The sequence below is a fragment of the Homo sapiens genome, chromosome 10 (genome assembly GCF_000001405.40).
Source record: "Homo sapiens chromosome 10, GRCh38.p14 Primary Assembly".
In the NCBI taxonomy this organism is placed as follows: domain Eukaryota; kingdom Metazoa; phylum Chordata; class Mammalia; order Primates; family Hominidae; genus Homo; species Homo sapiens.
In genome coordinates, this window is record NC_000010.11 from 100330749 (window position 1) to 100345624 (window position 14876).

A 14876-nucleotide genomic window follows, 5' to 3' on the forward strand; every position below is an offset into this window, starting at 1 on the left:
AGGCTCCTGTCCTGTCTCACCTTCAGCTGTCCCCTGGTGGAGCAGAGATGGGCAGCTCCCTTCCCTCACTTCACCCTCTCAGCCGTGGGGAAAGGACAGTGGCAGGAGGAACCCCAGTCTCACATACTTCAGGGCACTGAGGGGGCAGGGGAGAGGACCACAGAGTCCTAGGTTGTCTATATTCCTTGTTCTGAAGCTTGCCTTTCCATGGCTTACAGGTGAGATACACCAAGAGAGGGGGTTCCTTAAGGGTGTGGGGCTCAGTATGGGAAAAAGGCTAAGACCTGGTTGGGAGGCTGGATCGGAGAACAAAGGACAAGGACAGTATGATGTGGGACTAAAGGGGAGTGGATATCTGGACCCAGCTGAGCTGGGAACCTTTTCCCATGGCTCTGCTTAGTCCTGGGCCTAGAATCGTAAACTTGAGCACAAAGTGGAACTATCCATGATATCAGGATTAATCTGCTTTCTTTATAACTGCAGGTCTCTGAATTAAAACTGTGTCATGGGCCCCCAAGCACATCCCTGCCTATGCCCTGCTCCAGCTTCTGATCACCTGCTCCAGCTCCCCTATAGGCATGCATGATGCCCCAGAATGGGGCTGATCCCACAGGTTGTGGTGGTCACCCTGCAGTTTCTCCTCCTTGAGGCTAGAGCAGAGACTTTCCTCTCCTAACTCCTGGCTCCCCACCCAGGGCTACTCACTGGCCTGAAGCCCACCTTCACATTCAGCAAAACATCAGCCTTGTCAAAATAATCAGTCTTGAGTGTCCCTATAAAGAGATCTTGGCTGGGTGTGGTTGCCCACACCTGTAATTCCAGCACTTTGGGAGGCCAGGGCAGGAGGATCACTTGAGCTCAGGAGTTCAAGACCAGCCCGGGCAACATGGTGAAACACCGCCTCTACAAAACAACAACAAAACAACAAAAATTAGCCAGGCATGGGGTGCGTGCATGTAGTCCCAGCTGCTACTCAGGTGGCTGGGGTGGGAGAACCACTTGAGCTGGGGAGGCTGAGGCGTTGAGGCTGCAGTCAGCTGAAATCACACCACTGCACTCCAGCCTGAGCAACAGAGCAAGACCCTGTCTCAAGAAAAAAGAAAGAAAGAAAGATAACAAGTGTTGGCAAGGCTGTGGAGAAAAGGGGCCCCTTGTATGCTTGGCTGTATTGTAAATTAGTACGGACATCTTGGAAAACAGTATGGAGGTTCCTCAAAAAACTAAAAATAGAATTACCATATGTTCCAAGAATCTCAAAGGAATTGAAATCAGTGTGTTGAATAGATGTCTCCTCTCCCATGTTCATTGCAGGATTATTAATAATAGCCAAGATATGGAAACAATCTAAGTATCCATCAACTGACGAAAGGATTTAAAAGATGTGGTATATATGCACAATATAATATATTCAGCCTTGAAAAAAAAAACACAGAAAATTCTGTCATTTACGACAACATAGATAAACCTAGAGAACATTATGTTAAGTGAAATAAGCCAGGCATAATGAGACAGATGCCCTATGCTCTCACTTATATGTGGAAACTAAAAAAATTGAACTCGTAGAAGTAGAGAGTAGAATGGTGGTTACCAGAGGCTGGGGGTGAGGGGTGTGTGAGAGGGGAAGAGAGTGGTCGATGGATAAAAGCTTTCAATCAGGCAAGAGAAATATGTTCTGTTGTTCTGTTGCACAGTGTGGTGACTACAGTTGATAATGAGGTACTGTGTACTTCAAAATAGCTAACAGAGAGGATTTAAAAAGTTCTTACTACAAAGAAATGATAAATATTTGAAGTAATGAATATGCTAATTCACCTGATTTGATCACTCCACAATGTATACATGTATCAAAATGTCACATTGTACCTCATAAGTATATAGAATTATTATTTATCAATTAAAAATAAAATAAAACTTTAAAAAATGGAGCAAATGGGCCAGGCACAGTGGCTAACATCAGCACTTTGGGAGGCCGAGCTTGAGACTAGGAGTTCAAGACCAGCCTGGGCAACAAAGTGAGACCCTGTCTCTACAAAAAAATCAAAAAATTAGCTGGGCATGGTAATGCATGTCTGTGATCCCAAATACACAGGAGGCTGAGGCAGGAGGATTGCTTGAGCCCGGGAGGTCAGGGCTGCAGTGAGCCGTGTTCATGCCATTGCACTCCAGCCTTGGTGACAGAGAAAGAGCTTGTTTCAAAAAAAAAAAAAAAAAAAAGCAGCAGCAGCAAATGGAGGCATGAATAATGTGAGGTAGCCTATTTTAATGGTATAGACACTAAACATTATGAAGTTTAGGGGAAAAGGAAGCTTCCTCTGGAGGAAATGAAACAGAAGCTAGATCTTGATGGATGGGCGAGGTTTGGGAAGGAAGAGCCCCATCAGGTTTGGATGGGAAGGTTTGGAAAAGAAGAGGTTCCTTCTAAGCATAGGAATGATAGGTGGGGTCTTGGGGCTCTGAAGATGTCTGTGATGCCCCTAGGGTTGTAGAAGACTGGCCCTTAGTGCAGTTGGGAGAAAACAGAGGAGGGGGAAGGCCTGAGGTTGCATAACGAGGGTGAGGACCTCTGGTGGTCCCTATTGCCGCCGAGAACTGTGGTGTGCGTGAATCCCTTCAGAGACCATGGAAACTACCAGCTATTCAGAGTGGTTGAAGAACAAAAGGAGGTGGCTTCTGACCAAGTCAGTGGGAAGGAAATGACAAAATAAGAAGAAAAGGAAGGGTTCTTTTTCATTTGGGGCACTCATCCATGCTAATTTTTCATCCATAAAGAAATGAGTAGTCAATCTTTTCATGCTTCCTTTACCAAAAGGTGATTGAATTTATTTTATTAATTCATAGCCTATGTTTAAGGGAAATATATTATTTTGAGATTTTTATTTGTAGTTTAAATGTTTCTTGGGGGGTTGGAGATTTAAGGTAGTCCCAGACTTCTTTTAGATTTTTCCTCCTTATTATAGTTTGTATAAATATTGATCCAACCTAGATATAAGCTATGGGTAGGAGGAATCTTTTTTTTTTTTAACTATAGAACACAGCATTCCAGAAAAACCTCATTTCCATTGGTGAATGGCTATTGGCATACACAAACCTGGCATGTGGTTGAGGAGAAGGGATGCAGCTGACGTGAGAAAATCTTGAGAAGAGAGCCATAATCCCGCTTCCAATTCACTTGAGGTTTTGATGTATGAGGAAAGATGAAAAGAACTGTATGTGGGTAGGCCTGGCTGAAGAGCTAAGGAGTGCAGGTGCATGTGTGTGGGATGGGGTCCTGACAGCCATGTGCAGATGCATGTGTGTGGGATGGGGTCCTGACAGCCATGTGCAGATAGTTGAAGGCATAAGCCCCAAAGAAGGAGAGGGATTGTGAAGGTGCTCTTTAGGGGATTATCTAAGGGTAATGAATGAACCAAAGGGGAAAAAAATGTTTCATCAGAACTTTCATCATGGGTAAGATGTAAGAGGCTATAAAACAACCTCCCATGAGAGGTGGTGAAATTCCCATCCCTTGAGTCATTTGGAGGAGACCTAGAAAGTTTTGGAAGTATACAACACTGCCCTGGTGGGGGAACAGATTTGGCAACCAAGACTATCCTCTATCCTGGTGTTTTACAGCTCAATTTCCAAGATGAGTCCATTGATAAGCAATAAATTTGGAAACTCTCCAGAAAAAAAAAAGAAAAAGGAGGAAGAACTGTACCAGAATCAACCACCTTATGTTAGATAAGCTGATGACAAAGGAAAAGGGAGCCACTACCTCTCACCTACAAGCCTTTTAAATAATTGCAAAAAGACCCCTGCCTTGCATAACTGGACCTTAGGATAGGGTTGATGAGCAGGAAGCTAACAGTATGGTCCAGAGAAGCAGGAAAAGCAACAGGAGATGGTATATGGTTCCCATTGGGTAATTTTGGATTCTGGAGGAGGCTTGTGATCAGCAGGGGTTTGACTGTGCTAAAGGAGGGTCATCATGTGACAAGTCTCACATCTCTGATTGTTCAAGGCCACCAGTGGACTGCTTTATTCACCTTTGGTCACCTACCTGGGCAAAATCCGATTGCTTTCTCCTGCTTAGGGTTAAGCATTCCCCATGTGTGTGGATCAACCCGTATTGGCCCCAGGAGCACAGCTTATGCAACACGGCTTGAGAAATGTTCTCAAAAAGTTCTCTGCATCCTTATGATGTTTAAACTTGCTCAAGAAATTGCAACTGTGGTAATCAAGTGGCATCTCCTGATTATCTTGTGTCCAGTACCTTTCTCCATGTCCCCAAGCTCCTACTGGCACTTGACTTTTCCTCTTGTCGATGCCATCGACAAAGCAGTGTCAGCCGGGCGTGGTGGCTAATGCCTGTAATCCCAACACTTTGGGAGACTGAGGCGGGCAGATCACCTGAAGTCAGGAGTTCGAGACCAGCCTGGCCAACATGGTGAAACACTGTCTCTACTAAAAATACAAAAATTAGCCGGGCATGGTGGCATGTGCCTATAATTCCAGCTACTCGGGAGGCTGAGGCAGGAGAATCACTTGTACCTGGGAAGTGGAGGTTGCAGTGAGCCAAGATCACGCCACTGCACTCCAGCCTGGGCAACAGAGCAAGACTCTGTCTCAAACAAACAAAAAAATGTGAATAAAGTCCCTGGGTTTAGCAGGGCTCAGCAACTTACTAGTATATGGTTCTGAACAAGTCGCTTTTGAGACTCAGTTTACCTATCTGCAAATCTCCAAAGTGTTGATAGCAATGCCTGCCCTGCTGACTTTAAGGACTGTTTTAGGATTTAGATAATAGAATATAGAAGTCTTTATAAACTGTGTACTTTGAAGCACAAAACAAATTTAGTTCTCTTGCTGTTGCATCCATGCTTGTACATTCCACTCATATACAGCAATTCGTGGGTAATGTAGATACCTTCAGCCAGGACTTTGACATTGTTTCTGAGCGACACGGGTCCCAGAATTCTCTGTGTCTACACTATTTCAAGCAGCTGACACCAGTAGAATGGAGTGATACCATTTGGCCTGGAGAGAATTCCAAAGGTAATCTTTGAGTGACAGCACCTATTAGATGAATTTTATAACCACATGACAAGCCTTATAGCCCATCAAAGCCAGAAGCACCTCTTCATCTGGAAGCTTTTTTTTTTTTTTTTTTTTTTTTGAGATGGAGTCTCGCTCTCTCGCCCCAGGCTGGAGTGCAGTGGCGTGATCTCGGCTCACTGCAACCTCCACCTCCTGGGTTCACGCCATTCTCCTGCCTCAGCTGGGACTACAGGCGCCCGCCACCATGCCCAGATAATTTTTTTGTATTTTTAGTAGAGACGGGGTTTCACCCTGTTAGCCAGGATGGTCTTGATCTCCTGACCTTGTGATCCGCCGGCCTCGGCCTCCCAGAGTCCTGGGATTACAGGCGTGAGCCACCACGCTCAGCTTCATCAGGAAGCTTTTTAACCCACTTGGCGAATTGGTCCCATGGCTTCACTGGGATGTGGTTTTTGGTAATATGCCGTCCAAGTGTAGACACTGGGGTGAAGATTACCCCATTTCTGCCACCAGTGAGCTCCCTTTTCACAGTATGCCCATCCCAACAAGCTTCTTCAGTGACCCCCAGATCTACTGCACTCCAATGAAGAGCCAGAAATAGCAAAGTCTATGGGAAGGAAACTTGTGGCCCATGACCTTGTAAGTTCTCCTGAAGGAACCCCTGGGGAAAGTTGCCTTCCATATTCCAGACAAAAGAATCTTGGTTGGCCGGGCGCGGTGGCTCACGCCTGTAATCCCAGCACTTTGGGAGGCCGAAGCAGGCAGATCACAAGGTCAGGAGATCGAGACCATCCTGGCTAACATGGTGAAACCCTGCCTCTACTAAAAATGCAAAAAATTAGCCGGGCATGGTGGCAGGCGCCTGTAGTCCCAGCAACTCAGAAGGCTGAGGCAGGAGAATGGCGTGAACCCGGGAGGCGGAGCTTGCAGTGAGCCAAGATTGTGCCACTCACTCCAGCCTGGGTGACAGAGCGAGACTCCGTCTCAAAAAAAAAAAAAAAAAAAAAAGAATCTTGGGGTAATTCACATTCCAAGTTCTACAGGGAGAGGCAAGCTTCAAACCACCTTCTGTATACTACATACTGATTCTTAACCGTTTCCACCTCAGTAAGTGTAAACCATAGGACACAGTCCATAAATAACCATGGCTCACTATGACAATGATTCTTAATGGAAGACATTGGGAATCACGTACCTATAAGAAAGCATCCTGGGCATGAGACCTTAAGCTTCATCAATATCCCGCTAGTCATCTGTGTGGGAAAAATAGTAAAATTTGTTTTTTGTTTGTTTTTTGAGACAGAGTCCCACTCTGTTGCCCAGGCTGGAGTGTAGAGGTGCAATTGCAGCTCACTGCAACCTCAACATCCCAGGCTTAAGCAATCCTCCTGTCTCAGCCTCCCAGATAGCTACGACTACAGGGCATACCACCACACCTGGCTAATTTTTGTATTTTTTGTAGCGACATGTTGCCCAGGCTGGTCTCAAACTCCTGGCCTCAAGTGATCCTCCCGCCTCAGTCTCCCAAAGTGCTTGGATTACAGGCATGAGCCACCGCACCTGGCCCCATGTCTTTAAAGAGATCCTTTTTGGGCCCAGGCGCGGTGGCTCACACCTGTAATCCCAGCACTTTGGGAGCCCGAGGTGGGCCGGATCACCTTTGGGAGTTCGAGACCAGCCTGACCAACATGGAGTAATCCCGTCTCTACTAAAAATACAAAATCAGCCAGGTGTGGTGGCGCACGCCTGTAATCCCAGCTAGTCAGGAGGCTGAGGCAGAAGAATAGCTTGAACCCAGGAGGCGGAGGTTGTGGTGAGCTGAGATTGTGCCATTGTACTCCAGCCTGGGCAACAAGAGTAAAACTCCATCTCAAAAAAATAAAAAAGTTCAAGGAGGGTTCTGATCAATGAAAAGCTTTTGGATGTTTAGACTAGAAGATCTCAGGTGACCTTGGAAAGTAAGAAGGCTTTTGATGCCTACAGATTTGGGGGAATGAAGGTGTACAGCTTCAAGGGTAAGTGGTGAGGCAATGAAAAAAGTGGCTCAAAAAAAAAAAAAAGGAATTACAAAAAAAAAAAAGAAAAAAAAACTGGCTCCATTTAACAACACTAGTAATTTATTAAAGATCTGTTGAGTACCTACTGTGTGACCTTCTTTCATATCGGTTTGGGGATATCCTAAGAAACGGAAACAACCATCCTCATCTTCACGTACTAAAAGCCTCACCCACTTCTTCTTATGGTGCTGATTTTAAAACAGCTTTATTGAGATAGAGTCACGTGCCATAAAATTCACCCACTTAAAACAGACAATTCAATGGTTGTAGTACATTCACAGATGTGTGTGACTATGGTGCTTTTTTTTTTTTTAGACAGAGTTTTGCTCTTTTGCCCAGGCTGGGGTGAAGTGGCACAATCTCGGCCCACTGCAACCTCCGCCTCCCGGGTTCAAGCGATTCTCCTGCCTCAGCCTCCCGAGTAGCTGGGATTATAGGCGCTCGCCACCATGCCTGGCTAATTTTTGTATTTTTAGTAGAGACGAGGTTTCGCCATGTTGGCCAGGCTTGTCTCGAACTCCTGACCTCAGGTGATCCACCCACCTCGGCCTCCCAAAGTGCTAGGATTACAGGGGTGGGCCACAGTGCTCAGCCGACTATGGTTTTAATTTTAAAGGAGGAAAGTTTGGGAATTAAGTTTGGAAGTCAGGATTTTTGTAATTTATGCTGTAAATGAGAGAGGGAGAGAACCCCAACCAGCAGAACAAATTCTTCACTCCTACCTTCACCAGCGGAATCAAAGGACCCAGTGGGAGGCCACAAAGGTGCTTTACCTACCAGGGCCACTGGGTGGCAGCAGGACCCTGGCCCCATATATGTCAATATGGAGAGCCTGCTCTTTTCTGGATGTAGAAGAGCAGATAATCCAGTTTGGAGGGGCTGAGCCTTCAGAGGGGCCTCAATCTAGAGACCACTTTTCTCCACAGCTTCTTCCTATACCTTACCTTTTTTTTTTTTCCCTCTGGATAACTCTGCAGGTTCAGATCTGGGCCGGCTAACAGGTCCTAAACCCATAGGGCTTTATCATTCTAGAGGTCTAGTAATGGCCCCTATTAAACTGGCTCCTCTGAGAAGCAGACACTAAGGCTGGGCAACTATGTGTGGTTTTTCATGGGGGAAACATCTATGAGAGAAAACAGGGAGCTGAGTGAGGCTGACAGCGCTGTCAGAGAGTGAGGAAAGTCCTGCCTGAGTGAAGGAGATAGGGTAGGAAGATTGGGAGGGCAGCTGTGGCATAGTCAAAGAGAGGTTCAGTGAAACCTTCTGGGAGCCACAACAGGCCATCGGGAGTTCTGTGTCCCCCAAGAATGGGCTTGCCTTCACATCCCTGCCACACTTAGCTACTGGTGAGGCTGCTCTAGGTGGGAGCAGGCCTGGGGCAGTATGACCCAGGTGAACATCTTGGTCAGCCGCCCTACCTGTAGTCTGCGGTCTCTGAGGCCCATTCGCACTGCCTCCATGCCTTCCTTTGGAGAAATGACAGCCTCAGCCCTCCGGGGTTTCTATCAAGTGCCACATCTGCTCTCCACCTCTCAGGGAGACAACTGAACCTTCATCTCTCACCTCATGTGCTGATTTCACTTCCCAATTTCATTTCCTTCTCCCCATGACCCCACCCTCCATCATGGCTCCTCCCATGCCCTGGATGAGACTCTGTGCCTGCTCCTGGAAGCGTTCAGGCACACTCACCCTCCCAAGCAAGCCCTACATTTCCATTCCTCTGCCTTTGGCTGCTTCTTGCTTAGAAGCCCTAAAACATGAAGGAGGTAATGGTATTACCTGAATGGTGGCTTCAGCCCGGATCCCAGGTGTCAGCCTGCCCTGGCTGGAAGCTAGCTGGCCAGCACCAGGCCCCATCCCTTTCCTGGGGTCCCTGTTTCTCAAGTGACCATCTATCCTCTGGTGCCAGAGTTGGTGGTGAGGTCCCAGACTCAGCTGAGCCTCATAGACCTCCCTGAACTATGCGATAGGCAGCCATAGCTTTGCCAGGTGGCTCAGAGAGCCAAGCAGCTCTTGGGGATCAGAAAAAAGACATTGACACTTGGCTGGGGAAAGCAGAGGTTTGGTAAAGTGAATGTTAGAGGGAAAGAATGATGGGTTCTTGGCGTGTTCTTGGGAACAACAGGGTCCACAGCCCCCTTTGGGGTTCTCAGTGCTGTTGAGGCTGCAGGAACTGAGGTAGGGCTGAGGGGCCTGCAGTGCCTGGGGCTCCAGGCTTCGCTCCTCCATCTCCCTGGCTGGTCCTCAACTGCAGGCTTAGGAAGGATGGGATAAAGGTAGTTGGCTTTCTGGGCTGCTGCCTGAAAGGAGGACATGGGGACACCAAATATTCTGCAAGAACGTATCTGGGCCAGATGACATTGCAAATCCAGAGTCCCTTAGGACATGAGAAGGGAATAACTCTGGCCTTTAAAAGGGAATCCAGCCAACCCCGGGTGTGGGAGGAGCAGAATAACAGCATGGAAATTCACCTTGATTACATTAATTTACACCTTAGATGCTGAAGGTAAAGCTGAGGGCTAGCATGGGATTTTCCCTTTCTCTCTTGGGTAGGGAGAGATGGGGAAGAAAGGTGGAGTTGGGGGCTGGAGTAGAAAGATCAAGCTTTTAGCCGACCTGGGGAGCCTTCCAGAATGTAACTTGCCCAGAGGCCAGGCCTCCTAGGTACTAGGGTTTATGCAGCAGGGAATGTGATCACGGGGGAAGTGGTGAGTGGTGGCAGGGCAGGGGAGAAGCAGCGCCCAGCAAGTGTCCTTCTGACTTTCTGCTCAGCATGTTTGTTCTGTGGCTGGAAAGAATGAGTTACTAGACAAAACATATGAAGTACCTAGTACGCACCTAGCAGATGTTAGGTACAGACAAATCCCCATCACATCCCCCACCTCAGTGCTCCCAGGCTGGTACAACTTTTCTGAGCCTTGCAAAATACAGGTAAATATGTGGGTAAATATTAGTAGATTATCAAAGCACCTAGCACAGTGCACATAAATAGATGCTTAAATAAATAAAAATAAATTTTAAAAAAACACTAAATGACTCTGTCACCAGCCCATTCTCTTCCCCTACCCGATTCTAGGGGCACCTCTTAGGAAGGGCGCCCCTCTCTCTTCCCTGAACTCCGACCCTGTTTAATATAGTATGTTTACACTCTGCCTTCATCAGATGCTAGCCTGCCCAGTTTGCTATTGTGCTTTGTCCTGTTTCTCTTAGAAATCTGTGAGCTCCCCAGGGGTGGGAGCAGAACTTTGGCTCCATTCTCCCCCACACAGCAGAGAATTGACTTTCCGCTGGGCACAGGGGAGGCTCAGTCAACACTCTATCCCCATGTGGCTACGTTGGCTTAGAGGCACAGAATGGGAGAGAAGCAGGCTCTTGGCTGAGGAAAAGCCCTGGGCGAGCACTGAGGGAAGCTTGGCCTCAGACATAGCCAGCTGCCCTCTGGACCTCGCAGCCCTGCTGTGCCCAGCTCAGCTGCTGTGTCAGTGCAAAGCCAGGGTGACATCAGCTGTGGGAGAGGTTACTGTCAGGCAAAGGGAAGGCCAGGAGAGAGATGGCTGGCTGGGGCACGAGGCTAGAAGGACTCAGGAAACAGTTCCCTTGTAGGGGAAGCAGCAGCTTGGGAGGGGCAGTTGGGAGGAGAGAAGCAAAAGGGGTGAAGGGCCAGGAATGGCCAGGGCCTGCCTGTTCCTTTCACCTACAGCAGGGAGAGAGGCATGGGTTCAGAACTCTGGAAGAGAGTGTGACCTTCCTGGGAGCACTCTTAGCAACTGCAGGAAGCAAATGGGGATTTACCTCTCTACGACCAGGAAGGCAACACAGGAGCCGGGCACGGTGGCTCATGCCTGTAATCCCAACACTTTGGGGGGCTGAGGCGGGTAGATCACGAGGTCAGGAGTTCGAGACTGGCCTGGCCAGTATGGTGAAACCCCATCTCTACTAAAAATACAAAAGTTAGCCAGGAGGGGTGGCATGCACCTGTAATCCCAGCTACTTGGGAGGCTGAGGCAGGAGAATTGCTTGATTCTGGGAGGCAGAAGTTGCAGTGAGCCAAGACTGTACCACTGCACTCCAACCTGACAACAGAGCAAGACTCCGTCTCAAAAAGAAAAAAAAGAAAGAAAGAAAGAAAAAACGCGGGGGCAAGCTGCTCTTCTCTCTTTACTTTGGCTCAGAAGCTGAGTCAGGGCAAGAGAGACTTTCCCTTCAGCTTGTTTATTTGTTGTTGGAGGCCCTAGGCCTGTGTTTGCTTTTCCTCTCCATGTGTTCATCCTAGATGGCTTGCTCAGAATGGGGTAGCCTTCCAGGCTGGGGAAAGATCCCCTATGGGCCTCCAGAGGAGGGAGGGAGTAGTCTGTGGCCTGGGAAAAGGCATCTTTGTAAGGTCAGACCACTGCAGAAATCTCTGGCCCTGGTCCTGGTCCTAAGACATTTGTCCCCAGGCCTCATCTGCTGGGACTGTCAGTACCCATCTCACACATTCTGCCCTGAGACATAAACTGCTTCCAGTCACACGCACTATCTGATCTGAGGACGTACCCCAGGGCCCCAGGGATAGGTAACAATAAGTTGGTGGAGGCCCGTCCGCCAGTATGCATACCTGTGTGTGCAGACATTCCCGTGTGTGAGCACACACAGAAAGGGCTGGAGTGAGAGGAAGATCATGGCTCTGTGGATAGTGTGGAGAGACAGATGTCTGCCAACAGAGGGAGGTGTGGGGCTAGTGCACTGGCCTCTTCTCTACCGGGGAAAGACGTGCTACACCATCTATCCAGCCTGGGGCCCAGGAGGAGCCATATTCAAGGGTCCTCGTTCATAGTATATCAGGTCAGTCTTTTCCTCCTCTAGGTCTCTGAACTTGCCAACTGCCCTTCTCCACACTCACCCTTAATGGTCCCTTCGGATTTAGCACCGTCTCCTCCGGGAAGTCTTCTCTCGTTCTCTGGAGCTGGTCTGGAGTGTACCTTTCCTCTGGAGCCTATAGCTCAATCATCTAGAGTTATAAAGATACAGTGGCTGACGCCTGTAATCACAGCACTTTCGGAGGACAAGGCAGGTGGATCACTTGAGGTCAGGAGTTTGAGACCAGCCTGGCCAACATGGCAAAATCTCATCTCTACTAAAAATACAAAAATTAGCCGGGTGTGGTGGTGCACGCCTGTAATCCCAGCTCCTTGGGAGCTTGAGGTAGGAGAATTGCTTGAACCCCAGAGGTGGAGGTTGCAGTGAGCTGAGATCGTGCCACTGCACTCCAGCTTGGGCAACAGAGCAAGACTCCACCCCCACCCCCCAGGTTCAAGCGATTGTCCTGCCTCAGCCTGCCTCAGCCTCCCAAGCAGCTAGGATTATAGGTGCCCGCCACCACCCTGGGCTAATTTTTTGTATTTTTAGTAGAGACGGGGTTTCACCATGTTGCCCAGGCTGATCTGGAACTCCTGACCGCAGGCGATCTACCCGCCTCGGCCTCCCAAAAGTGCTAGCATTACAAGCGTGAGCCACCATGCCCAGTCTTTAGTTTTTTTTTTTTTTTATACTTTTCTTATTGAGATATAATTTATATACCATAGAATTCATCCATTTAAATCATACAATTTAATGGCTTTTAGTATATTCACAGGTTGTGCATCCATCACAATCCATTTTAGAACAGTTTTATTACTCCAAAAATAAACCCTGCATTCCTTAGCCATCACCCCCCAACATCCTCCATCCTCCTTCCAAGCCCTGGGCAACCACCAATCTACTTTCTGTCTCTATAAATTTGCCAATTCTGGACATTTCATATAAATGGAAGCAAACAACATGTGAGACTTTGTGACTGGCTGCTTTCACTTAGCATTCTATTTTTAAGGCTCATTATGTTACAGTACTTAGCAGTACTTCATTCTTTTTTATTCTCAAATGGTATTCCACTGTGTGGGTATCCCATATCATATTATTAGAGACAGGTTCTCACTCTGTCACCCAGGCTGGAGTGCAGTGGCACAATCATAGCTCACTGTAACCTCAAACTCCTGGGCTCAAGTGATCCTACTACCTCAGCCTCCAGAGTAGCTAGGACTACAGGCACACACAGCCATACCTGGCTAATTTTTTTTTTTAATTTTCATTTTATGTATTCATTTTCTTTCTTTTTTGTTGTTGTTGTTTTGAGATAGGGTCTCACTTTGTTACCCAGGCTGGAGGGCAGTGGCATGGTGACAGCTGAGCAGCCTTGACTTCCTGGGCTCAAGTGATCCTCCTGCCTCAGCCTCCCAAGTAGCTGGGACTACAAACACGTGTCACCATGCCTGGCTGATATTTTTTTTCTTGAAACAGGGTATCACTCTGTTGCCCAGGCTGGAGTACAGTGGCGTAATAATAGCTCACTGCAGCCTCCCCTCCTGGGCTCAAGCAATCCGCTGGCCTCAGCATCCTGAGTAGCTGGGACTACAGGCTTGTGCCACCAGGCCCAGCTAAGTTTTAAAAAATGATTTTTGGTATAGAGGAGGTCTTGCTATGTTGCTCAGGCTGTATTTTTATTGTTGAGACAAGGTCTCACTATGTTGCCATGATCCCCCCACCTCCACTTCCCAAAGTGCTCATCTTATCTGTTCATTAGTCAGTTGACAGACATTTAGGTTGTTTCCACTTTTTGACCATTATGAATAATACTCCAGTGAATATTCATGTATACATTTGTGTGGGCATATGTTTTCATTTCTGTTGGGTTTATATCTAGGAGTGGAATTGCTGGATCCCGGGTAATATTTTGACAGGCAGAGTTCAGGGGAAGAAAAACTTGGGAAAATGAAGCATGTTTAGAAATCAGCAAGAGTGCAGGGGTTTTTCGGAGTTTTATTTTATATTCTGTTGACAAATGTGCAGTTTGATGAAGATACAAGTTATACTAAGTGAGAAGTGAGAATTAAGGCTGGAATAGGGCGTTCAGAGTAAAATCATGAAGCACTTTGAATACCAAAATTAAGGAGCTTGGCTGTAAACAAAATAATAAAAAATCACAATTTTTTTTTTTTTTTTGAGAAAGAGTCTTGCTCTTTCACCCTGGCTGGAGGGCAGTGGTGTGATCTCAGCTCACTGCAACTTTCGCCTCCCGGGTTCAAGCAATTCTCCTGCTTCAGCCTCCCAAGTAGCTGGGACTACAGGCACTTCCCACCATGCCCAGCTGATTTTTGTATTTTTAGTAGAGATGGGATTTCACTTTGTTGGCCAAGCTGGTCTCAAACTTTTTGCTGTCATAATTGTTGTAACTATTGTTCCTTTTGCTGAGGTAGGGCCCCCAGACCAAAAAAAATAAATCTTAGAATCCAAATCAGTGTGTTGGTTTGACCACTGTCACTTGAGAACCACAGTGTGACCAGGGCCTCAGGAGTAGAGGTGATCTCTGCTCGAAAGAGAAATAGAATGAAAATATTCTCCGGGCCAGGCGTGGTGGCTCATGCCTGTAATCCCAGCACTTTGGGAGGCCAAGGCATGTGGATCACCTGAGGTCAGGAGTTCAAAACCAGCCTGGCCAACATGGTGAAACCCCGTCTCTACTAAAAATACAAAAAATTAGCTAAGTGTGGTGGCGCATGCCTGTAATCCCAGCTACTTGGGAGGGTGAGGCAGGAGAATTTCTTGAACCCGGGAGGCAGAGGTTGCAGTGAAGCGAGATCACACCACTGCACTCCAGCCTGGGGGAGAGAGCGAGACTTCCTCTCAAAAAAACAAAAAACAAAAGAATTAAGCAAATTAGACATTGCAGAGAGAACCTGAAGGGGGTCAGACCACGTACAGATTTCT

General features: G+C 47.5%; 2 annotated features.

The window, feature by feature from the left end:
• Positions 8668-8737: an enhancer, noted in NCBI's record as "active region_3888". NCBI's record gives its function as "activates an Ori minimal core promoter by ATAC-STARR-seq in GM12878 lymphoblastoid cells {active_cell/tissue: GM12878}" and the evidence as "EXISTENCE:reporter gene assay evidence [ECO:0000049][PMID:35858748]".
• Positions 11684-11978: an enhancer, noted in NCBI's record as "tiled region #15237; HepG2 Activating DNase unmatched - State 1:Tss". NCBI's record gives its function as "activates a minimal TATA promoter and a strong SV40 promoter by Sharpr-MPRA in HepG2 cells {active_cell/tissue: HepG2}" and the evidence as "EXISTENCE:reporter gene assay evidence [ECO:0000049][PMID:27701403]".